Here is a 26,935-nt window from a genome sequence, read left to right on the forward strand (position 1 = left end):
CCGAGGGTCCTTGTGCTGGGAACAGCTCGAGGATTTGTCTCAGTAGAGGTCTGTTTTGGGCGATAATAGGGTGTTTGTGTTCCGTTTACACTGAGAAGTGAATGTGCGACAGTGATTAGAATTATTGAGAAGACATAACCTCCAGATGATTCTTTAGAATTTCTTAGATCTGTACAGAGGGCTTTGTGGAAATACTCAGATATCTGTGCATAAAGGGATAGGTTAAAGTAGTTCTTTACCATGGAATATTTGAAAAATTTGTTTTAATATTTAATTGTAATTTTTATTGTTTTTCTGTTCAGAACCAGGTTTTGCTTTTCAAATTTTTGAGGAGTCTTCTTGACCCAAGGTATGTTGACAAACTTTAGTCTTTCATTATATATATATATATATATGAGAAATAAAAGGAAATAAATAAAGTTACCAGCCCATGGTATCTAAATAATACAATTAGCTCTTAATTTTTTATATTAGTAGGAGCAACTGTTACACAGATAATGTGAAAATAGAAGATCTGAACGATAGATTATATCTTGAGATAATACTTTTCTTTCCATTTGAACATGAGCATATATGGTGAGTTCTCATGGGTGTAAATAAAATAATGAAGCCATGCCACAAGGACATGTTTCAGAAGAGTTAGCTTCCCCCTCCTGCCCTTGTTTCACTCTTGCCTACTCCTAACTTCATGTGGGTGATTGATGGTGGCTCTACTTTCCAAAGTTAACACTTGGTTCCCAGCCCACCTCTAAATGTATTACCTTTTAAACTCTGACTTAATATGTTTAGTTTTAAACAACTTCCTGATGGTGTGGGAAGGAAAGTTTAAATGTGTTTTTTCAACAGCTACTCTGATGTTTATATCAAATAAAAGCAAACTCAAGGAGATGATGAAATTAATAATGGATTTGTAGGCAAAGCAGTGCTGCATATGAGGTTTTAAAGTTTTGCTGTAACTACATAGAGTACATTGGGAGTTGAGGGCAGTAATATTTAATATCCTCTAAGATAGCTACTCTTGACTAGTAGTGTGCATCAGAATCACCTACGAAGCTTTTAAAAATTCAGATGGCTTGTCCCAACCCACAGAATCACTGGGAGTTGGAATATTTTGATGCACACCTAGAGTTAAGCATGGTTTACGTGTAATTTTCCAAGATGACATAGCTTTCATATCAGACATACAAACTTTAGGTTTCATTATAATATATGCTGGCCATTGAAAACAACTATTTACTTACGTTAGCAATTGTAATATCAGCTTTGGTTATTTCCGTGTTCTGTGAGATTTTAAAATACCAAAATACCAGTAATTTTGTTGGTTGTAAAATTTTTTTGAAAGCTCAACCATTTAAATCTTGAATAGGCTGTGGTACATTTAAATTTAGTCAAACGAATATGTATGTGTAGATGTTTACTAAAAGCAGACTGATTACAAAGCCCCCTCCACTTGTGTTCAAGACCTTTTCAAAGTATCTGTATTTTAATTCTCTGTCCTCAGATTATTACTGAGGGTAGACATCCTTTTTTTTTTTTTTTTTTTAAATTCCTATTAATCATGTGTATTTCCCTCAGAGTCAGTTCGGGCCCTTTTCTACTCCCAGAATTAACTGATGGAAAGATTTTAGAATTGGAGTTGGGAGTGGGAGGGAAGAAAGGAATGTGGGTAGAGGTAGGGAGAGCTGGGAGGGGGAGACATGAAAGTAGGGCAGAGGATGGAGCTCAGGGGAGGAGGAAGGAAACGCCAGCCCCACTTCTCAGCCCTTTCTCCAGAGCCTGCCCACCTCTTTTTCTGTGGCACAGTTCCCTCTTTTCCTCTCCCATACTTTTCCCAGTGTTAGATCCATTCACTGCTCTGCCCTTAGGATAATTTATTTTAATCAAGTCCTTTTCCTCTGCTATCCTACCTGGAGAGACTCAAGCAAGAACAACAGGGGAAGGTCAGCTTTGAACTTGGCATTTTCTCAAATGAAGTGTGGAAAGTGATGGTGACCAAGTATATTTTTTTATTTAAAAAAAAAAACAGTATTAGGTAATGTAAATATCTGTCAAAGACCTAGTGTTCTGCTTTGAGAATCCTAGTTCTTGGATTCATCATATTTTATCCTCTTACTTTATGTCTTATATAGGAGGTAGGCATTGATGTAGATTATGCTCTAAACTTTTTGAATTTGATGTTTGGCATTTCAATCATTTTTTAATAAAAAGCAAATACAAATAATATACCTGCTTTGGTATTGCGGTCACTATTTAAAATAAATATTACAAAAAAAAAGGCATATCACAAGTATCAAAGGTCTTCAATGGACAGTCTTGCTCCCTTCTTACCTATATCTAGATTTGAAAGATGTTAGTTAGGTAAGACCCTTTATGAGTGCTGTGAAAGTTGTTTTGTTCACCAGTAAACCACAGATCATTTTACTTGAGAAACAGGTATATTTTATTTCCCTAAGCTAACCCTAACCAGGATAATTACCTCTCACACATTATTCCTTTCCTGTCATATCAATTCAGGCGCAAGGTCCTTTCTTACCGACCTTGAAAAGAGTCAGCGTGCTCACAGGCCTTCCTCTCCCCTTCCCCAAAAAGTGACATGACCAGGAATGACCTCACTCTCACAGCCAAATTTCTAGCTTTACGTTTGTCTACCAGAAATTAAGAGCCTTGAAGTCACCAGCTTACCTTAGCTCTGCCTTTAAAAAGAGCTCATGTTTGTATTGATCTGCCTCCAAAGTATCAAAGACCGCGTGTTCTGCTTTGAGAGTCCTGATTCTTGGATTCATCATATTTTATCCTCTTACTTTATGTCTTCCATAGGAGGCAGGCATTGATTTAGATTATGCTCTAAACTTATTTTTGAATTTAATGTTTGGCATTTCAATCATTTTTATGTAAAGAACATTTTAAATGATAGTATCTCAAGCTAATCCATAAAAGCTTCTTTAACCCACAGTGTAAATAAATATATAATACTAGTAACATATTGAGTTCCGGATTGAGGGAGAGAAAGTAGGTTAAGAAGGTTGAGTGCCGAGGGAGTAAAGAAAAAAGAGGAAGTTCTCCCTTTCTTGCTTTGAGAGTGGTTGTTAGAAAAAGTTTTGATTTGTTTAAGGTCTGTTTTTGGTATCCTTTGAACCCTACCTCCACCCCATTCCGTTCCCTTCTTTCCAGGGATGCAGGGTACACACACTTCTTCAAGCTCTTTGCATTATAGGCACACTCAGATATAGAGTGTTCTTTATAGATGTAAAAAATCCAAATTACCTTCCTCCATTTCCCCATCAAAACTGTTTTCTAGTTGCTTTGTCAGTTTCTGTATTGTATGGCCCCTTTTACAATGAGAAATATATAAATGACATATGAAAACAATGAAGCATATAAAAGATGGGGAAAAAACTCAACACCTTTTCCTAATACAGTTGACCTCAAGGGTAAGAAGAAAGCGCAGAGCACATGGATTGGTTTATATTAGTCTCTGATTGACTAACTTCTCATTACATTTTAGCTGTTTTTTAGTGACCATGCTTGTTAACTAACCTAAAGTAAAGGATTAGAGTCTTTTCAGGTACTGGGAAAACTGAGGGAGTACAGAATACGGATATAGGGTCAAAACAACATCAAGAATAGGTAGACTGGCCCCGGCTAGCAGTTTACTTGACAGCCAACTGTGAAATATTTTTGCCTTTGTTTCTTCTCTTTTTGTTCTTTTTAAGCAATAGATATTTTTAACCTCCAGGTTTTTTCCGCCATGAAACTCCTAAAGCAGCATTATGAAAGAAAACAGTTATTTTGAGATGAGGACTGCTGGTGTGTATGTATCATCTCAGTGTTGCTTTTTTTGCTCTTGCCGCCAACACCTGAGTTAATAGGATTCTCATTCTTGTATGTATAGTTTATGCATATTTAATTTAACATTTACATGTATGGCCAGGCACGGTGGCTCACGCCTGTAATCCCAGTACTTTGGGAGGCCAAGGCGGGCGGACCACCTGAGGTCAGGAGTTCGAGACCAACCTGGCCAGCATGGTGAAACCCCGTCTTTACTAAAAATACAAAAATTAGCCGGGCGTGGTCACGCACACCTGTAATCTCAACTACTCAGGAGGCTGAGGCAGGAGAATTGCTTGAACCTGGGAGGCAGAGGTTGCACACACACACACACACACACAAACAAACATTTACAAGTATCAAGTTGTTTTTGAGGGGGTAGTTTTTATTTTGTCAACAGCATTTTTAAAAGGATAGGTCATCCAGTTGAATTTGTGTGGATATTTCTCTATGTCTTTACCCAGTGTCTTTATGTCATCCTTGTTATGTAAATAGTTTCCTCAGTCAAATTAATTGACCTGCAAAGATATTGGTGGCATCTGTACATAGAAAGATTAGGTAGTTTTAGGGGGAGAGGGGATTAATCCTCCAGAAGGAAATTACTTGCCTGAATTAAGGACAACAGCTTGGGAGAGAGGATTTGCATCCTCTTCCAATTATTTCCTTTGGGACAGCTGCTACGTAAAGCCCGACTCTACCCCCATCCCCTGGGTGCATTGCTGCTGGCCATGAATTCTCACAGGAGTTCTCCTGATGTGCTTACACCCAGCTGCAGGTTCCTTATGCAGTGGGGATGCTTAAAGGATAATACAAAAGGACACGTGTTTTTTGTGAGGCCATGAGCTGCATAAGGAGTAAAGAGAATGTGCAAGTATATTTATATTCTGAATATTTTCCTCAGTATGATTTTCCTGGTAATGTTGATTTAGCCTTTGTTAACAATATTCTGAAGGCCTCTGAAACATATAGTATGATTTTCCTGTAGGAAAAAAACACATACGTCACATTGTATCTGAAAGTCTTTAATCAAAGTAAAGTAAAAATTGAACATTGTTAAGAAAATGAGTAACTTTGTCAAGGAGCAAGATATAGATTATGGAAATGGTTATGCATTGGATTTTAGTTGAATCTGTCAGTGTTGCTGTGGATATTTTTGAAGGGACATTTTAAGATATTGACACTCAGTATTGAAATAATATATTTCAAAGTTAAAATACAAAATTAGGAGATTATATATGTTCATGAACTTTGACATATTAAAAAAAATACCTACTTCAATGAGTGCCTACAGTGGCCAAGGTGATTGTTAATTTGGCCTGGCTTACCCCTAGATCTTATATCTTTGGTTAGTATTTTGCTAGCAACTCAAAATCAACCTTTTAAATTGTAACACATCATCACCTCCTAATCACCAGTCAGCTCCTCTCTCTCTTTCTCTCTCTCTCTCTCTCTATATATATATGTTTATTACATATATATTTCTTTATTCCTTTAATCAGTACTTACCTATAATGAAATTTTTATTTATACTCACTTTTTCCAGCCTAAACCTCTTCTCTCTTAACAATTAATATCATAAACTCATTTATTTTATGTAGCAATTTACTGAGTAACTACAGCATACCAAGCACTTGACAGGCATGGGAGATAAAATGATGAATAAGACAGGGCCCTGCCTTCAGAGAATTTACATTCTAATGGAGGAAGATAGGCAGAAGCAGGTAATTATGTATAAGTATCTTAAATAAAATCCTGAGAGTGATGATCAAGTTTTCACTTTCCTTTATCCATTCCCACTCTACCTTGTCACCACACCGCGCAGAAACAGTTACCAAAATCTATAAACTCTACCTCTTCTCTGTCTCTTATATGTGATTTTTCTTCTTGTCTTTACCCCTACTGCCCTGGTTTAGGCACTCAACATCCCTCCTCTGGTTTCTTTTGCTGGTTTCCCAACTGTAATCTCCCAACAGGTTCTTCCTGCTACACGGAAAAACCAATTCACTGAGACCACAATATTACAGTAGAGAAAGAGATTAATTAACACAGAGCTAGCCACATGGGAGGTCTGGTGTAATAACTTGAGTCAGTTTCCTGGAGAACTCAGAGGCTGGGGCTTTTATGGATAATTAGGTGGGCAAGGAGCTAGGGAATGGGCACTGCTGACTGGTTGGAGATGAAATCATAGTAGTGTGGAAAATGGTCCTTACGTATTGAGTCTGCCTCAGTGGGGGCCACAGGACCACTTTAGTCATGAGTCCCAGGTCTGGTTAGAGTCAGAAGATGGCCAGAATGCAAAAGTCTGAAAACATCTCCAAAGACCAATCTTAGGTTCTACAATAGTGGTGTTATCTATAGGAGCAGTTGGGGAAGTCACAGATCTTACGATGTCTGGCCATATGACTCCTTGTGCAGCAAGGGATTATAGAAAGGCAAGCTAGGTTACAGTGGCTGGCTGCCATTTAGCTACACCTATATTTTAGCAGAATTCAGGCTCTTCCCATAATCCCAATCTTGTAGTCTTTCATTAGTCTTACAAAGGTGATTTTGGTCCCTGAGCAAGGAAGGGGTTAGTTTTAGGGGGACTGTTATCATCCTTGCTTCAAAGTTAAACTGTAAATTAAATTCCACTCATGGTTAGCTTGGCCTGCGCCCAGGAATGAGCGAGGACAGCCAGCCTATGAGGCTTGTCACAAGACGGAGTAAACCATGCTAGATTTCTCTCACCGTCATCATCTTTGCAGTGGCAGCTTCATAACCAGCCTGGCTTCCTTTTCCGTTTTTGAACAGGCAGATAATGATAATGTTCTCTGCCACTTTCTTAAAGCTCTTTCAGTTCCCATTACCTAAGGTGAAATCCAGTTTTCCTGGTATACAAGGCCCTTCTTGGTACAAAAGGATTCAGGCCCACCTGGCCAGCAGCATTTTCTTCTATCTTCCCATATCTCTTCTCTCCTTTATTCCTGAGCAGTGCTGACCTACGTGTTCATCAGGTACACTACACATTGCCATTCTTCCCTTCACATACCTGTTCCTCCCTCCTCATCCACACTGTTTTCTTGAGAGCAGTTTACTTATGTGTAATAATAGCTGTAAAGTCATTTTAGGGAAAAAAACTTTTTTTTCCTTTTCAGTTCTTAGTTTAGACACTCTACTGAAAGCAAAACTCAGATTAACAAAAGAAAAACAAGCAGAAGCTTATTAATGTGTGATGTACCCATCATGTGAGACAGGCCTCAGTTCAAAAGTGTCTCTCTCAAGGCAGTGGCTTAGAGGCTTTGCTTAAACAGTATTTTAACAAAAAGCCTTAAATCTTACATAGTGACAAGACAGGAAAGAGCAGTTCCAGCCTAGTAAAAGGTGGAGACGTGTGGAGAGATAGTAAAATCTGTTCCCAGATTCCGCTGGTACCTGCTGGTGCTTTCTCTGGGCCAATAAGCAAGTGATGTCTCCAGTAAAGAATGTTATGTCCTGCCATCAGGCAGATAGAGGCGGGAGCAGAGAGTTCCCCCACATTTTCATTGTTTTTAACAATCCTCAATATTTTGGGGAGATGTATTTTGATTGTTCTGTGCCCCCTTTGAAACTTTCCTTTCAGAAAGTTTCACATATTAAAAGCTAGGTGGGTAGCTCTGGAGAGATTTTGGGTTAGAGATTTTGACATAAGAGTTTGGCAGAGGGGAGAAAATCATAGATTAAAACAAGTGGAAAGGAACAAATTTGGGTACATTGTCCCATACCTTATTGAAACAGTCTTTTAGTCCTGAGAATTACTCTGTTCAGTTGATCAGTTATATCTTATTTCAGGAGGTGATGTTGTGGGCAGGTTTTTTTTTTTTTAAATCAAAATCAACTCTATGATATAGACAAATATATTTAGCAAGAGGCATGTCTGTGGGAGCAAAAGAAAAACAAAGGTTAATGTTTGGGGCAGTCTGTTAGCTTGTTTAATTCTGGAGCAGTCAGCTGAGAAGATTTTTATATTTGTTTTCAAAATATCTACAGTTGGAGTAAAAGTAAACTGGTGATTCTGACAGATTTTTCTGGATTGCTGTTTGCGTCAAAATTTCAGTGAACTTTTTTCCATAAATAATTTGTATGATTTCTTTGAAGTTTATATCAAGTTGTGTAACTTTAGCTTGCAGGGCTTCAGGGAAAGCACACTTTAAACTTTTAATGATTTCAAGTCAGAAAGGTAGGAGAAAAATTAGAAACATTAGTCTGGGAGTCATAGCCAGATATTGGAGGAAACTAAAAATTCAGGATTTAGTCCAGGTAATAAAAAAACTCAAAAACAGTAGACAGGTCTAGAATTTAATAACAGATGTGCTATAGTTTTCTTCTGAAACATAAGTTCTCTTTATAATTACCCCCATTCTTACTAAAGATATTTACAGTAATTACACTAATTTAATTATAAAAACCAGTTTTAGCCTTATTATACTTGGCCTGATCATTTGCATAAAGTGCAACAAGAATAGTGATTGGCCATATAGGCTCTTTTTTTTTTTTTAAATCTGCTTTGTTGGAATTTATTATAAGAAACCTCAGATTATACCTTTAAAAGACTCTACAGGCCAAGAATTCAAGACCAGCCTGGGCAACATAGTAAGACCCCATCTCTAAAACAAATAAAAATGAAAAATTAGCCAGGCATGGTAGTCACACCTATAATCCCAGCTATTCAGGAGGCTGAGGCAGAAGGATTGCTTGAGCTAAGGAGTTTGAAGTTAACAGTGAGCTGTGATTGTGCCACAGCCGTTGCACTACAGCCTGGATGACAGAGGGAGACCTGTCTCCAAAAAACAAAAAAGGGTCTTCAGGGCAGGAAGTCAAGCCACGGACTTTACCAGTAGTAAATCAGTGGCCAGCATAGTAATCAGATTTTACCAGTAGTACTTGGGTGAATTCATTTTTGCTTGGAGTCCCCAGAATATTCTGAGGTTCCTGGGCCTGTCAGAAAGTGACATTCTTTACTTACTGCAAGGCTGGGAACCATGTAGACATGGCACCAGGCTAGTTATTCTAAGGGCTTCAATGGCCCCTTAAAGTTAACCTTAGTTTCTTAAAGTAGTCTGAAAATACGACATCCCAGCCTGTATAGAATTAGAATGATTCAAATAACATTTATACCTGATGTGGTTATAGAGCTAAATTATTCCTCCTGTCCCTGAAATCATTAGGCTCTTATTTCTATTAGGTTATAAAGCTCATTTTTCCTTCCTACGTAGGAGAACAATATATACTTTCTTTTCATGACTATCAGAGAAATAACAAATTTTATTAAAATTTGAAAGATTAGTCTGGGTGAGGTGGCTCACACCTGTAACCTCACCACTTTAGGAGGCTGAGATGGGTAGATTGCTTGAGCCGAGGAGTTCAAGACCAGTTTGGGCAACACAGTGAAACTCTATCTCTATAAAAATTAGCAGGGCGTGGTGGTGCACACCTAGAGTCCCAGCTACTTGGGAGGCTGATGTGAGAGAATTGCTTGAGCTGGGGAGGTCGCGGCTGCAGTGAGCCATGATCATGCCACTGCACTCCAGCCTGGCCAACAGCATGAGATTCTGTCTTTAAAAAAAAAAAGATTTGAAAAGTTAGATTTTGGCATTTGATTATTAGTCAAACCAGGGAAGTGGAAAGTGACCAAATCCCCTACAGCCAGCTGTCTTAGATCTGCTGTTACATTAACGTGATGTGTCAGAGTCTTTGCTGTCAGGCAGTGATGAGCTTGCCTGCTTTGTTCTGTGCCTCTTAAAAGTTTATGAGGGATTGTGGCTGTTCCTATATGCGGAAATACTGTTAGCTATGTGGATCGTGGCGGTCTTGGTGGGGAGCAAAGAGACCAAGGATGCACTGGATTCCTTCTTGCCAGAGGAAAGTTTCTGTCTCAGTCAATGCTTGTCAAGTTTGTAGAGACCATTGTGTTTGTATGTTACAGTTTCATACAGATTTTATAGATACTGTCTTTACTACCTGTAATAATCACATTTAATGTATTTTTCAGGCAGATTGGAACATTCATTTATGTTTTGCTTAGTTGGCAAAACTAAGGATTACATTTGGCATTTTTAACTCACAATGTGTATGGAAAGCTGAAAGTTCAGCTTAAAGGCCTTGTGATTTGAATGACAACTATAGGGAAAATAGGGGTTTTTGTTGTTGTTGTTGTTGTTTGTTGCTGCTGTTGTTGTTTTTTAATTGAGACAGAGTCTCTCACTGTGTTGCCCAGGCTGGAGTGCAGTGGCGTGATTTCGGCTCACTGCAACCCCCACCTCTTGGGTTCAAGTGATTCTCCTGCCTTTGTCTCCCGAGTAACTGGGATTACAGGTACGCACCACCACGCCCTAATTTTTTATGTTTTTAGTAGAGATGAGGTTTCACCATGTTGCCCAGGCTGGTTTCAAACTTCTGGCCTCAAAGAATCCACCCACCTCAGCCTCCCAAAGTGCTGGGATTACAGACGTGAGCAACCACGCCCAGCAGTTTTCTGCTTTTTTTTTTTTTTTTTTTTTTTTTTTTACTCTAGCTTGTTGTGGATGATGTATTTGCATTCTCAGTCTAAAAGGTACTGGGTAGTCAAAAGGGGGCCACCACATCTAAGGACTGGATATATGGGATAGAGCAGAGAATTTAAGCAGACAGGATTTAGGCTAAGCCGAAGTGGACCTAAATTGTAAAAGCAATATATGAAGGAGATTGTGAAATCCTCTTCCTTAGAGAAATGGAAGATTAATCTAGACTGGCCTATTTAGATACAGTTTTTAGAGTGAGGGGGTGGGACTAGACTAGCCTTTAAAAAAATTCCAACGCAATGTTTATTTTCTTTGTCAAATGTTAGGAAGTCAAAATTTGAATGTTATTTATTTTTTAATTTTTATTTTACTTTAAGTTCTGGGTTACGTGTGCAGAATGTGCAGGTTTGTTACATAGGTATACATGTGCCATGGTGGTTTGCTGAACCTATTGACCCATCCTCTAAGTTCCCTCCCCTCGCCTCCCACCCTCCAACAGGCCCTGGTATGTGTTCTTCCCCTCCCTGTGTCCATGTGTTCTCATCGTTCAGCTCCCTCTTATGAGTGAGAACATCTGATGTTTGGTTTTCTGTTCCTGTGTTAGTTTGTTAAGCATGATGGCTTCCAGCTTCATCCATGTCCCTGCAAAGGACATGATCTCATTCCTTTTTATGGCTGCATAGTATTGCATGGTGTATATGTACCACATTTTCTTTATCCAGTCTATCATTGATGGGCATTTGGCTTGGTTCCATGACTTTGCTATTGTAAATAGTGCTGCAATAAACAATGTGTGCCTATGTCTTTATAGTAGAATGATTCATATTCCTTCGGGTATATACCCAGTAATGGAATTGCTGGGTCAAATGGTATTTCTGGTTCTAGCTCCTTGAGGAATTGCCATACTGTCTTCCACAATGGCTGAACTAATTTACAGAATTTGAATTTTAGAATAATTTTAATGTGGGCTAGACATGGTGACTCACACCTGTAATCCCAGCACTTTAGGAGGCTGAGGCAGGTGGATTGCTTGAGCCCAAGAGTTCAAGACCAGCCTAGGCAACATGGTGAGACCCCATCTCTACAAAAATATCAAAAATTAGCCAGCGTAGTGCCCCACACCTATAGTCTCAGTTACTCAGGAGGCTGAAGTGGGAGGATCACTGGAGCCCAGGAGGCGGAGATTGCAGTGAGTTGAAATTACAGCACTTCACTCCAGCCAGGACGACAGAGTGAGACTGTCTAAAAAAAAAAAAAAAGAATTTGATGTATGTTTTTCAAAACTGATATATATTTTTAGTCTTCCCTAGAAATGGTTCAGTTTACAGAGTTATAATTTGAAATGATTTTCACAATCTGAGTAAGAGTGGATATGTGCTCCAACCTGAATTCTGTAGTAGGCAGGGTTTGTGTGTGTGTTTCACAAGGCACACACATGCTTTCTTCTAAAACTGACAAAAGAAAGCAGTGGGTGTATTGCAAAGCAGATAGTTAATAGAAGACTAACAGATAGCTTTGGGAAATGGATATAACAAATTTATGTGCAAGACTGATAAGCAACAGTCAGAAATGGATGTAAATTCATTAATGCTCCAGCTAATTTATTAAAGTTTTGATTATATTGATGTGGCCTGATTATTTCCCATCAGACACGTTACTTCTCTCACAAATGAATCCATCAAAATCTATTCATCTGGGTGATTTGCTTGGTTTGATGCATATTCACAACTTTGTTTCTCGTAAATGGTTGTGTCAATAAATTTTCTGGAAAGAATTAAGTACTGTTATTCATACTTATGTCTGGTCTTAATTTGCTCCATAGTCTTGCATTTATAAGACATATTAACAGAAGTCTGATGTAAATGAAATACCAACAATGTGGCATAAAACACAAGCTACAATTTGGCATAAACCTCTGGAAAACACACTGGCTCATCTGAATGTGGGGAAACATTGGTTAACATTCCCATTTTCTTTTACCTAATAGTGTTCTCTTGAGACACAACCTTGATTCCTCTGATAATAAGATAAACCAGTCTGCATTGGTGACGTGTGTGGGGATTTTTCCCCACACACCAATCAAGCAGTTCTCTAGTGGGCACCAACTGGGTAGCCTACAATTTCACTCATTTCTGACACTATGTATCTGGAGTTACTGTCAGATCCTTGCCAACTGAAGAATCACAAGGTTCATAAATTTTGAAAGGAGAGCTTTATTTCAGATAAAGAGTTGCAACCTGCAAGGTGGCCATTCTACGGGCTGGGAAGTGTAGCCTCTGGCAGAAGCTGAAAATAAGCAGTTCAAGGGAGGGGTAAAGGGAATAGTAATTTACGCTGAGTAGAGTAGCTAAGTATATATATTCAGTAACCTATAGGAAGAGTCATGAATATTTATGAAAGGAGAAATAAGCACATGCACAATCAAGCTTCACGCCTTTTTGTGGGACCCGTGTTCAAAATATGGCAGCATTAGCACAATCCAAATGGGCTGTTTTCAGCCCTCTGATGTCAAAAGGTGAAGCAGATGACACGAAAACCCTCACTGCATGTCCTCTGCCATTCGGCAAAACAGTTGTGGAGGTGGTGTTTAGTGTTTAGGAAAGGATGTGTTGTGAAACTGGTGAGCTGTCACATTGAAACAGCAGAGGAGGAGCAAGAGTCTGGTCACAACCTCAGACAGTTGGCTAAAGGCAATGAAAGAATGAGCCATATGTTTTTTGTTTTCCAGAGCTGTTTTCTGTTTACTCCTTAGGAAAGAATTCTGGTTAAAGGTTAATAAGGGAGGGGCCTACTGAGGCATGTCAGACCTGCCATCCTGTCATGGCTGGGAACTCAATTTTTAAGATGGGGTCTGTTACCAAACTGAACCTGGGTCCACTTACCTGGTGCAGTAAAGCCAAACACCCACATTGAGGTTTGCAGTGAGAGAACGGAGGGCATTTATTTGCAGGGCACCAAGCAAGGAGAATTGGCAGTTCATGCTTAAGACCAGACATCCCTGATGGCTTACAGGAAGAGTTTTTAAAGGCAGGGGAACATTTCAGGAAAGCAGAAATTACAGGCCAAATTGCAAATCACTACATGGAGGTTTTATACATTGATTTGGCTTAAAAAGGTGGGATATCTTGAAGTGGGGGTCCTATATGGCATAGGTGGATTCAGAGATTCTTTGATTTGCAGTTGGTTAAGGAAGCAAGGCTTTGCCTGAGAACTTGGGGTCAGCAGAAGGAATATTAAGGTTTGGCTTGTGGGCGTGACTCTCTTCAGACCCTTTAGGAAGCAATCTAGAGCAAACAACAGCAGACAGAGCTCAGTCCTCAGGGGCCCCCTTATCTGAGTTCTGCATGACAGTGGTTGGCATTTTCCATCTGGTTGTGGTGCAGGTTTCAGAAAAACAACTCAGGGACATATGTTAAGATGTTATCTTTAATTTCTACAGGGAATCAAACATCTTGTGGCTCTAACCTACTTGGGTGGCTATTGTTGTAAGCTGTTTCTTTGTTATCAGGTTGCTCATTTACTTCTAAAGACTAGCTAGATGCCTGGAATTTCCCTCGAAGAGATTCAAGATTTTTCCTTATTTTCATGCTTGAAGGAGGGAAAGGTGTGTGGCAGGCTGCTAAGAGAGGCCCCTGCTCCATCTCAGTTTCATTAAGTTGGTTGGGGAGCTTAGGATTTTCCTTTTATTTCTCTTCCCACAGGCTTAGTCCCACAAAACTAGCCCCTACTTCAGGTGCCGAGCATAAGCCCCAGGCTGTAACCTGTGCTTCTGACCAACTAGGACTTTAAATCAGGATACCCTTGACCCTCCTCCGCAGGTTCCATTAATTTGCTAGAGCAGCTCACACAATTCAGGGAACACCTTACTTACATTTACTGGTTTATAATAAAGGATATTACAAAGGATATAGGGGAACAGCCACATAGAAGAAATGAATAGGGAGAGGTTTGTGGGAAGGGCCAGGGAGCTTCCATGCTCTCTCAGTGCACACTGCCCTCCAGGACCCTCCACATGTTCAGTGATCCAGAAACTCCCTGAACTTAGTCCTTGGGGTTTTTATGGAGGCTTTATTATGTAGACGTGATTGATTACATCGTTGGCCATTGGTGATCAAGTCAATCTTCAGCCACTCTTCCCTCTCCAGAGGTGTCAGGGCTGGGGTGGGACTGAAAGTTCCAGCTCTCTAATCACATGGTTGGCCCTCCTGACAACCAACCAGCCCTTATCCTGAGGCTGGCCAGGAGCCTCCAGCCCTCAGTCATCTCACTAGTATGTAAGAAGATAACACTTTGGAAAGCTTAAGGATTTTAGGAGCTGTGTGCTTATTATATCACAATATTATATTCCCACATAGAGAACTGCCGTGTCCCTAGATTTATCATGGGCTGCTTCTAATTTCTCCATGTAGGACTTTCCGATAGGATTTATTCCTAATTATCTCTGACTTTATAGCCCTAGTCCCTGTAGTTTTCAGCCCTCTATTCTTCGTTTTTGTGGGCGAAAGATTACCTAGGTGCCGAGGCAAGAGACTGAAGGCACAAACTGTTTCAGTATAATAAAGAAAATAGTTAAAATAAGAATAGTTATAATACAAATTAGATATAGAGATGATCATGGACAATTATCAATCATTATTATAAACATTAATCATTAGCTTTTAATATTACTCTTTGTTGCTTTACTAATATAACCTAGGAATAACCGGTGGGTATAGGGTCAGGTGTTGACGGGATATTGTGAGAAGTGACCTAGAAGGCAAGAGGTGAGCCTTCTGTCACGCCCACATAAGGGCCGCTTGAGGGCTCTTTGGTCAAGTGGTAACGCCAGTGTCTGTGAAGGCACCTGTTACTTAGCAGACCGCGAAAGGGAGTCTCCTTTCCTTGGAGGAGTCAGGGAACACTCTGCTCCACCAGCTTCTTGTGGAAGGCTGGATATTATCTAGGCCTGCCCGCAGTCATCTGGAGGCCTAAACCCCTCCCTGTGGTGCTGTGCTTCAGTGGTCACTCTCCTTGTCCACTTTCATGTTCCTCCCGTACTCCTGGTTCCTCTTTGAAGTTCGTAGTAGATAGCAGTAGAAGAAATAGTGAAAGTCTTAAAGTATTTGATCTTTCTTATAAGTGCATAGAAGAAAACGCTGACATATGCTGCCTTCTCTATCTCTGCGGTGGCTACCTAAAAGGGAAGGGCCCCCTGTCCCATGATCATGTGACTTGCTTCACCTTATCACTTAGAAGATTCATCCTCCTTACCCTGCGCCCCCTCGTCTTGTATGCAATAAATATCAGCACGCCCAGTCGTTTGAGGCCACTGCTGGTCTCCGCGTCTTGGTGGTAGTGGTTCCCCGGGCCCAGCTATTGTCTCTTTATCTCTTTGTCTTGTGTCTTTATTTATTACAATCTCTTGTCTCTGCACACAGGGAGAACACCTGCTAAGCCCCGTAGGACTGGACCCTACACGTTTTCCTCTGTTTGAAGGCAGTCCAATGTACTGTCTACATTCATTTCAGTTCAGTTCAATATATATTTACATCAGATTACTGAGCACTATTTATTATGTCTTAATGATGGGTAAACAATTATGAATGCAATACCATGGACTTTACAATGTGGTTGGGGACACACATACTTAAACATGATTTTCAAGTTGTGGGTGAGAACTAAGGTGGTGGTATACATAGGGAATGGCCAGTCACTGAACAAACTTCTGTATTAAAGGCAGTTATAAGATACAAAAAAAAAAAAGAACACTCTTTCTTTGGAATTTATAGCCAATTTGAGGAGATACTGAATTAGCCCATCAGCAAGTATTGAAAGTTCCAAGCAGCAGAATTTTTTTAGTTTATCGTTTACCCACCTCTGGTATCACAAAGCTCTTAAATTAGGGAAAATGCCCTGTGTCTAAATACAGTCTCTTTTTCTTTGACCCAAGCTTCTTATTAGTAAAAGTAGAAGCACTACTTACCATCACTTATGAATAATCACAAAATCCAAATTGTTCTTTCTGGAGTCCAGAGAGTCCCACCCTGTGGCTATTGATGTACTGTACATGGTTACAAGTGTGCCTGCAGACTGTCTCAGCTCTTGGGACAACCAGAGTCCCTTGTGAGCAATCTTACTTCACTACAGTGGACCAAACAAATATCTTATTTTCTGTGTGCCACAATATGAGAAAACCTGGAAACTACTTCTTTAGACCATGTGCTTTAACCTTTCTTCAGAACTGGGCTAGTTTTCCAAGCAATCATTGTTGTATCTTATTAACCGTATTCCAGTTATTTATATAATAATGAGCTTTAGTTGAGGAATTCCGAAGAGAAGATAGGACTCTCAGAAGGAACTAAGTTCTTTTGAAGCTAGAGAGAGGATGATTCTTAGGTCTCCAATGAACAGTTGATTTCCTAAGCAGCTACTTTCGGCCATCAGTAGTTGAGTGCTTGAGTGGCCAGTATGATGCAGTTAATACTCTACTTCCAAAACTTTTGTGTAGGCATTGTGAATAGCGGGCTATGTGAGTAGCTGGTGTACTAGGCAAATGAACCCATAAATATTGTGTATTTTAGTATTACTCCTTTATTTATTATAACAATAACCAAAAAAATTAGTCCTCACTATGTGCAAGACATTGGTTAGCTTCAAAAATTTACTACTGAGAAGATACCTGGTACCTACCCCTCACAGAATTTATAGTGTTTTAGAGAAGATAGATAATTAAAGAAGTCATTGCAATGTGATATGATTGGTGCTATGAAGAATATAAAGAAGAAACACTTACTGAGATTGGAAGATGGTTATATATAGTTACTTAGAGATCAAAGTATTAGGACTAAATTGGGTGGCTCTTGTTTCTTTTAGAATAAAACACAACTTTTGGTATGATTTAGAAGAGTTTCAACTGAATGTTACTTCCTTAATTATTCAACATAACCTGAGTAATATTACAACTTACAATGCCTCTTATGTAATGTACAGTTTGCTCAAGTAACCTAAATAACATTGAGACTTTCAATTCATATTTTTATCTGACCAGCAGGTAGTCCTAGTTTTAATGTAATGTGCTTTTTACTGGTAGCTTTTAATTATAGATGTGATTAAATAATGCTACAATTGAGTGTTCTCTTTATCTTTTATGTTTTTAGGGAAGGTATTCATGTAAATCAAGAATTACTGCAAATATCTCCTTGTATCACAGAGCAGTTCATTGAGCTGTTGTGTCAGTTCAACCCAACCCAAGTTATAGAGACTCTGCAAGTCCTTGAGTGCTACCGTCTGGAAGAAACTATTCAGGTGAGACGAACAATGTAAAAGAGACAAGAGTAAACTCTTCTTAACATTCTCCATTTGACAGATGATCAAAGACAAGGGGAAAAAATATATAATTTCTTTTTTAAACCTTATAAATTCTTAGTTGAGACATACTCCTGAAAACAAAAGTCAGATTAACAAAAGAAAAACAGAGGTTTATTGATATGTGCTATACCCATCATGTAGGAGAGACCTCAGTTCAAAAGTATCTTTCTCAAGGCAGTGGCTTAGGGGCTTTGCTTAAACTGTATTTTAACAAAGAGCCTTAAATCTTACATAGTGACAAGACAGGAGAGAGCAGTTCCAGCCTAGTAAAAGGTGGAAACATGTATGGGAAGATAGTCAGCTGTGTTCCCAGATTCCTCCCGTGCCTGCTGGTGCCTTCTCCGGGCCAATAAGCAAGTGCTATCTCCAGTAAAGAATGTATGTCCTGCTATCAGGCAGATAGAGGCGGGAGCAGAGGATTCCCCTGCATTTTCATTGTCTTTAACTTAACAATCCTCAATATTTGGGGGAAACATATTTTGGTTTTGTTCAGTGCCCCCTTTGAAACTTTACTTTTAGAAAGTTTCACATATTAAACGCCGGGTGGGTAACTGTGGAGAGATTTGGGTTAGTGGTTTTGACGTAATAGATTGGCAGAGGGGAGAAAATCATAGATTGGAACAAGTGGAAAGGAACAAATTCGGGTACATTGTCCCTTATTGAAACAATCTCTTGGTTGTGAAAATGGGTCAGTTTAGTTAAATAGTTGCATCTCATTTTAGGAGGTGGTGGTGTTGTAAGTGTGTTTCCGACAAAGGTATAGGCACATAGGCATTTAATAAAAGACATTTCTATAGAAACAAAAAGGAAACAAAAGTTAATGTTTGGAGCAGTCTCTAAGCTTGTCTCTCAGTCTGGAGGGGAGCCAGCTGAGAATATTTCAAGATTTGTGTTTAAAGTATCTATAGTTGGGGTGGAAGTAGGAAATGGCAATCGGACAGATTTTCCTGGATTGCCGTTTGAATGAGGTGTTCCAGTGAACTTTCTGTCCATAAATAAGTTGTGGTGATTCCTCCAAAGTTAATATCAAGTTGTCTAGCTTTAGTGTGCAGAGCTTCAGGAAAAGCAGTTTTAATTTCAGTGATTCCAAGTCAGAAAAATGGGAGAAAATGTTCAAATACTAGTTTGGAGAGTTGGTCAGATATTGGAGGAAACTAAAAATTCAGATTTAGTCAAATTGCAAGTAAATAATAAAATCTCAAAAACCGTGAGTTAGAATCTCATAATGTTTACTGTAGTTTTTTTTTCTGAAATAGTTTTTTCTCCAGTTCCCCCATTTTTACCAAAAATAATCAGAGTAAGTTCAATTGACTTGTAAAATAAGTTTAGTGTCATATTTGGCCTGATTATTTATATAAGTACTGCAAGAGTAGTGATTGGCCATTTAGGCTTTTTAAAAATCTCCTCTGCTGAAACTTACAAGAAATCTCAGAGTAGACCTTTAAAAGTCTCTCGTCTTCAGGCTGGGAAACGAAGCCATGGGCTTGCCATCATCAGATTTTACCTGTAGTACCTGGGTATACTCTTTTCTTGAGGCCCCCAAATATTCTGAAGTTCCTGGGCTTCTCAGGAAGTGACATTCTTTACTTACTGCCAGGCTAGGAACCCTGTAAGCACACCATCTTGACAAGGTACCAGGCCAGTTTTTCCAAGGCCTTTATTGCCTCCTTAAAGTTAAGCTTAGTTTCTTAAAGGAGTCTGGTTATATCTAAAAATAATGACATCCCAGTCAAAGCCTTGGTAATATAACCCATGTTTCCAATTTTTCTGCTACAAACAGAGCAAATTCTTACTGAACTCATGAAAATAACTATATTGCCATAGAATATGAATATTCAGTTTCTGAATTTGGGAAGGATCAGGTATAGAAAAAAGTAAATGTTTTAATTTTGCCACAAAAATATACTTTACCAAATTATTGTAATGCTATGAATAGCCACCGCCCCCCACCACCACCCCAGAAAAAAAATGTTTTCTTAACTCTGGAAAGCAACGTATAAAAAGTATCAGCAGTGTTTCAAACAAGTCATAAAAAATTTTTTCAGTCCAGTGTAATTATTCTTATTTTTCTTAATGTCAGGTTAGCAATTTTATGAGGCCAGGTTTGTTTGCTTTTTCCATTGGGGTTTGGGAAATTTTTACCCAATCCAGTGATAATATGGTGTCACAGTTGTCAGAAACCTGTATTCAAGAGTATTTGTTGCACTCTTTTTCTTTTTTCTTTTTTTTCCCTTCTATTCTTTTATTTTTATTTTTTTAATTTTTTTATTATACTTTAAGTTCTAGTATACATGTGCACAACGTGCAGGTTTGTTACATATGTATACATGTGCCATGTTGGTGTGCTGCACCCATCAACTCGTCATTTACATTAGGTATATCTCCTAATGCTATCCCTCCCCACTCCCCCCACCCCACAACAGACCCCGGTGTGTGATGTTCCCCTTCCTGTGTCCAAGTGTTCTCATTATTCGATTCCCACCTATGAATAAGAACATGCGGTGTTTGGTTTTTTGTCCTTGCGATAGTTTGCTGAGAATGATGGTTTCCAGCTTCATCCATGTCCCTACAAAGGACATGAACTCATCCTTTATTATGGCTGCATTGTATTCCATGGTGTATATGTGCCACATTTTCTTAATCCAGTCTATCATTGTTGGACATTTGGGTTGGTTCCAAGTCTTTGCTATTGTGAATAGTGTTGCACTCTTTTTCATGACCTCCTTGAAGATGCAACACTTTAGAATTTGCAAGGAGATTTCAGAAAAAAAGCGTCAAAATAAAGTAACTGTGGACAAAATGACTTAAAATGGCTGTGATTAAAGGCATAGTTGTCAAGGATATTTCGTTATTTTCTGTGGCCTACAACAGTTTAACATAATAACCCAAAATATGACTGATAACATATACCAAGACATAACCAGATTTCTAGGAATCTCATAGAATTTTGGAACACATATTAATAACACTATATACAAATTCAACTCAAAGAAACATGATTTCTTATGTCACAGTGTTTCCCATATAATTTAGCACATCAGATAAGCTGGTGTATTCTCTCTTTTTTGTATGCTTCAGGGACCCTCTGCAACATCCCAATATTAGGTTGAGGTTAAAAAGACTCAATTTTAGAATCTGAACTTTGATTTTGAGAAGCCTGTCAAACATGTCAAAGGTTTAAAAGATTGGATCAGAATAGGATCACAGTTCACTGTGAAATAATGGTAATTCGTAAGTCAAAGTCATAATTAAAAGGGAGACTCACATATGAAGTTACCTGTGTAAGTTTATACCTACTAAGTGGTAGCCCCTGAGATTGAACCCACATAGTCTGACTCTGTAGTGCATGCTCTTAATTGCTGGGATAAACTGCCTTTCCATTTATTTTAGTAAAGTCAGCTTTATAGAAATTGTTATCGATCAAGCATGATAGGAATTCTAACCAACTCAATAAGCATAGAAAAAGGAACATAGTAAAAATATTGAAAGGAGACCAAACTCTTGTTTGCAGACACAGATGATTAGTCTTGTTGTGCCATAAAACTTAATAGACTAAATAGCAGTTGAGTAAGTTTAGCACATTCATTGCCTTCATTCTCTTCCCTTATTTTCTCTTGTTTCTAAATGAAAATGTACAGACACACACGTTATTTTCTATAACAGATTAGTATGTTTCCCATTTAACATTTATTTTTCAGCTGTCATGTATCGCTTTTCCTTTGCTGTCAACACTCCTGAAACAGTTGCCTGTATTTTCTGCATCTGCCTCCTGAATTGCCCACACATACTTTTAAAAATGTTTAATTATGAAATATTTCAAATTTACAGAAATGTGCTGAATATCAATTATGTATATACCCACCAACCAAATTTTATAGTTAACATTTTGCCGTACTGGCCTTAGTTCTTTGTTATCTTATTGTTTTTGTTTGTTTATATTAAAAGTAGAGCACCCATTATCTGTCTTATTCCCCCCTCTCCCCTGAGGTCTCCACCATCCTAAACTGGTGTTTATCCTTCTGATCTATGTTTTGAATTTTTTCTATATGTGTATGTATCTATAAAATACATGCTAGTTTTATATGTTTTTAAAATTTCTATTAATATCATACAGTAGATATTTTATTATAAGTTGCCTTTTTTTTTTTTTTACCAATTTTTTTGTTTTTGTTTTTGTTTTTTTTGTTTTTGTTCTTTTTTTAGACAGAGTCTCTCTCTGTCACCCAGGCTGGAGTGCAGTGGCATGATCTCGGCTCACTGCAACCTCCACCTCCCAGATTCAAGTGATTCTCCTACCTCAGCCTCCCAAGTTGCTGAAATTATAGGTGCACACCACCGTGCTAATTTTTGTATTTTTAGTAGAGATGGGGTTTCACCATGTTGCCCAGGCTGGTCTTGAACTGCTGACCTCAAGAGATCCGCCCACCTTGGCCTCCCAAAGTTCTGGGATTACTGGCGTGAGCCAGTGCACCCGGCCACTTTTACTAAATTTTTAAAACATTTTTATACATGTAGATCTACTTCATTCATTTAATGATCTTACGGTAATCTATCAAATGAATGTGCCAATTTGTTTATTTCCCTGTTGGTAAACATTTAGATTGTTTCCAATCTTTTGCTGTTATAAACAGTGTTACAGTGTACATCCTTGTATATATCTTCTTGTGTGCCCATATGAGGGTTCTCTGAATAATATACTTGCAAATGGAATTGTTTAGACAACCAAGTAGTGTAGTTCTACTGATTGCCAAGTTGATTTCCAGATTGTTTCTATTCTCATCAGCAGTGTCTGATATTTGCTGTTTTTCACATCCTTGCTGATACCTAGTATTTTTAGTCTTCTTAATTTTTGCCATGGTGGGTATTAGTGATTACTCATGACATTAAACATCTTTCCATATGTTTGATGACCATTGGAATTTTCTTTTCTCTGAATTATTTATTCATGTCATTTGCCCATTTTTTCTGTTGAGTTTCTGTGTTTCTCTTATTGAGTTCAAGAAGTTTTTTCTGATTTCCCAGTCTCTAATCCTTTGCTAATTTTATGTGTTGGAGGTACTTTCTTCCAATTTATTATGGCACATCATTTAACTTGGCTTTTAGTGACTTCTGTTTTAGTTTACCATTCTTTAAGGCTTAAGTGTGTGTGTGTGTGTGTGTGTGTGTGTGTGTGTGTGTGTGTCTTATTTCCTTTCCTATTTTAATGGAATAAAGGACATTCTCTTTTATATATAAATTTTATAGTTCAGCTTCTTACATTTAGGCTTTTAATCCATCTGGAGTTAATTTTTGCAAGCTGATCAAAAGAAGGATTTTTATCTTCCACATGATGGCCAGTGGTCCATGTGGCATTTTATTATCCATTCCTCACTGATTTTTAATGCCATACTGCCATATACTAAACTCCCAAATATACATGACTCTGTGGGTTCCATTCTCTTCCTTTGGTTGTCTTTCCCTATATCCATACCACATATTTTAATTAATACAGCTTTTCAATAGATTTATTATTTGGAAAAAGAATCCTCCCTCCTTATTCTTTTTCTTTAAAATGCTTTGGCTATTTTTAGTGTCCTACATCTCCTAGTATTCCACATGAATTTGGAGATCACATTCTCAAGTTTCTTTAAAAGATACAAACTCTCTGGAATTTTGATTTATGAATACATTGAATTTATAGACTAATTCAGAGAGAACTGACATCTCTGTAGTGTTGATTCTTCTCTTTCAGGAAAATGTATGCCTTTTAAACTGCCTTTTCTGCTCTTTGGTGAGGTTTTATAGCTTTTATATAAGGTTCCTGCACATATTAAATTTGTTCATAGTTACTTTATAGTTTTTGTTAATATTGTACAAGGAGATTTCTCAAGATGACCTTTCTATATTGATTGCTGCTGCTGTTTTAAAATGTTACTGATTTTTGTACATTGTTTTCTATGGAGCAACCAGGAAGAATTCTCTTAAAATTCAATTTCTAGATTTTTATGACAATAAGAAGAATGGCAGTTTTATTTTAATTCCAATCTTGTAGTTTTTTCTTTCTTATTGGATGTCTAGGATCTCTAAGGTATTGGCGAATAGAAGCAGTGACAGTATGACTTCTAACCTTGTTCCTGATTTAAAAGGGAACATATCTAATATTTTACATTAAATATGGTATTTATCATAGGATTTTGGTAGATAATTTTTATTAAGAAAATGTTATCCCCCGTTTGAATAAGAGTGTTTTGTTTTTGTCATGATTCGGTGCTGTATTTTGCCAAATGCTTTTCCTGCATTTATTGAGACTATCATGTTTTTTTCCTTTGTTCTGTTAAACTGTTAATGTGTTATTTGTTCTAATAAACATTTTTTCTAACCTGTTAATCTTTTCAAAAAAGCTACAGTGGAGTTTGTGAAATCTCTCTTTGCTGTCATTTCTGTACTTTTTTCCTTTTTTCTCCCTAGCCTAACTGATACTTCTTTTTTTACTAATTAGAGATTTTGTTTATTAATTTTTATTAATATTTCACAAGTTGATTTGTAATGTTTTCATTGTCATTTTCAATTTTTTAATAATTATACTTGATCAAGTTCTAGTTTGTATTGTTAGTATGTATGTATATAAGTTAGCTTTTCTCCAGTGTGTATACCTAATTCAGGTGTGTAACATTTTTTTAAAATAAATAAATGAAAAAAATGAGTGAATTTGGTCCAGTTAGAACTCCCAAATGATCTACTATATGACTAGAAAGTCAGCTATTTGCATATTGTACTGTAAAATATCATACTAATAAGGTATAAATTCATTATTTATCATATGAGTTTTTTCATCCTCAATGGGATCTTCCCACTCCACAAATAAGATTGGTGAATAAAAATATTTATCTTTTTTATTTCCTAGATTACTCAGAAGTATCAACTTCATGAAGTCACCGCTTATCTATTGGAAAAGAAAGGAGATATTCATGGTGCCTTCCTAATAATGTTAGAGGTAACACTTTACTATGTTTCTTTCATCATATTTCTGTCTATTCCTCTATTCATTCATGAATCCATCTTAATTATGTTTCAAAGCCAGTTGCAGACCGTAATATATTTTACCCCTGAATATTTTTATCATGCATAGCATTAACTAGAGTTTAATATTTCTTTGTGGTACTTTTTTAAAAGGTAAAATGTACAACAGTAAAAAAAAGTCATAAATGTACTATTTGATGAGTTTTTGACAAGTATTTTTATATATATACCACAATCTGTTTGCCCATTCCTCCTTCAGGGGACACCTGGGCTGCTTTACCTTTTGGTTGTTGTGAACAGTGCTGCTGTGAACATGGGTGTACAAACGCCTTTGAGTTCTTGCTTTTATTTCTTTGGGATATATACCCAGAAGTAGAATTGTTGGATCAAATAGCAATTCTATTTTTAATTTTTTGAGGAATTGCCCTACTGTTTTCCATAGCAGCTATGCCACTTTACATCGCTACCAGCAACACTCAGGGGTTCCAGTTTCTCCGCATTCTTGCTAACACTTTCTGTTTTCTTGATAGTAGCCATCCTGATGGGTGAAGTGACGTAGCAGTTTTGTTTTGTTGTGTTTTTTAATATTGTCGTGTGGCTAGGAATAGATTAGGGATATCATATTTATATTTTAAAATGTTCCATATTGGCTTCTCGTTTCTTTCTAGCCATATGATTCTAAAATAAGCCAGGAAGAATCATCCACAGAGGCTTTGTGTAGGCTCTTAATCTCTTTTAATCTGTAAATTACTCCTATACCTCTTTCTTTTTCTTGCAATTTATTTGTTGACAATACCATGAACCTAGTATTAAGGAATAAATAAGAGTATTTCTGACATTGATGAGAGGAGAAACAGGAGATCTCTGTGGGGCATGAGGCCATCATTCATAAAGGTTTAGGAATACAAAGCAAAGAAGTATGGATGACCAAGAGAGTGCCAGCAGCTTCACTAGGGCTCCGCTGTGTAATATATAGGCAGGTCAGGCGAGAAACAACGGCTAGGTCCAGATTTGGACAGATTTTGTTGGACACGCTAAAGAATTGTAGCTAGTCTTCTTGTCACACAGGATCAAATAAAGGTTTTTAAGCAAGAAACGGATTTGATGTTTGTTTCATAAAGACTACGCTGGTGACTGTTGGGGGATGGAAGGCAGGATACAGAGAAGAGGGAGGTAAAACAAAGCAGACAATACTTGGGAGGCCATTGCAATGGTACAGGTATGAGTCTATGAGAGCTTGAACTGGGTGTGTCAGTGGCAATGGAGAGAAGAGGGATAGATTTGAGAAGTTATTGATCATTTGCATATGGTATGAGGTAACTGAGAGGAAGTAGTTGATGATTTTAGCTTATAAGCTTTTTACTCATAACCCAGTATATTACACCCCTTTTACTCACAACCCAGTATATTAGTCTCTTCTGTGTTGCTCTAGAGGAATACTTGAGGCTGGGTAATTTTTAAGGAAAAGAAGTTTATTTGGCTCACAGTTCTGCAGGCTGTGTTAGCATCTAGCATCTGCTTCTGGTGAGGACCTCAGGAAGCCAGGGTAAAGGAGAGCTGACGTGTCACATGGCATGAGAGGGAGCAAGAGTGGGGTTGGGGGAGGAGTGCCATGCTCTTTTAAACATCCAGCTCTCATGTAAACTGATAGAGGGAGACGTCACTCATTACCACAGAGGGGCGCACCAAGCCATTCGTGACAGATCCACTCCCATGACCCAGACACCTTTCACTGAGTCCCACCTTCCAATATTGGGAATCACATTTCAACATGAGATTTGGAGGAATCAAATATCCAAACTATATCACCCAATATGAATTGGATTCCCTTATCCAAAGTGACTGTGGTGGGATGACAGAAGCAGAGGTGGGCAAAATGAGTGCTACTTGATCTTTGGGTCCCTTTTCATACTGCTAGCTGTACTTTCTATAAACAGAAGAGTTTACTTCTGACTGACACTAAAGGACTGTTCTTAATAACCTTGTAGTTTTGAGGGGTTTACCTTTAAAATATGTTAATTCAAGTATTGGGTGGGTAGAACTATAAAGTGTTCCTTTTTAACTCCTATGTTCTTTTTATCTCCTAGAGACTACAAAGCAAACTTCAAGAGGTAACACATCAAGGTGAAAGTAAGTTCTTGAAAATAATTACAACATTTTTCATCCTTGGACCCCATGTTTTAAAAGATGTTTAATAAATTGCATTTATTATGTAATAATTACACTTGCATATATGCATAATTACT

The 26,935-nt window shown here is 38.0% G+C and overlaps 1 protein-coding gene across 23 annotated transcripts in view; it reads left to right on the plus strand.

Annotated features, from left to right (window-relative positions):
• VPS8 (VPS8 subunit of CORVET complex) overlaps positions 1 to 26,935 on the plus strand; it is a 240,449-nt gene that overhangs the window by 127,729 nt on the left and 85,785 nt on the right. For 21 of the 23 annotated variants that reach the window (NR_146113.2, XM_047447824.1, XM_024453426.2 and 18 more), the window contains 4 exons: positions 303 to 349; positions 17,480 to 17,627; positions 24,574 to 24,663; positions 26,777 to 26,819. Coding sequence is in view for 22 of the 23 variants with exons in the window: in XM_047447824.1 (XP_047303780.1) it covers positions 303 to 349; positions 17,480 to 17,627; positions 24,574 to 24,663; positions 26,777 to 26,819 (328 nt within the window). In the remaining variant the exon portion in view is untranslated. Of the gene's footprint in view, positions 1 to 302; positions 350 to 4,597; positions 4,696 to 17,479; positions 17,628 to 24,573; positions 24,664 to 26,776; positions 26,820 to 26,935 lie in introns of those variants that run through there. The other 2 variants (XM_005247253.6, XM_047447827.1) reach the window with 2 other exon arrangements.

The sequence above is a fragment of the Homo sapiens genome, chromosome 3 (genome assembly GCF_000001405.40).
Source record: "Homo sapiens chromosome 3, GRCh38.p14 Primary Assembly".
NCBI lineage: Eukaryota > Metazoa > Chordata > Mammalia > Primates > Hominidae > Homo > Homo sapiens.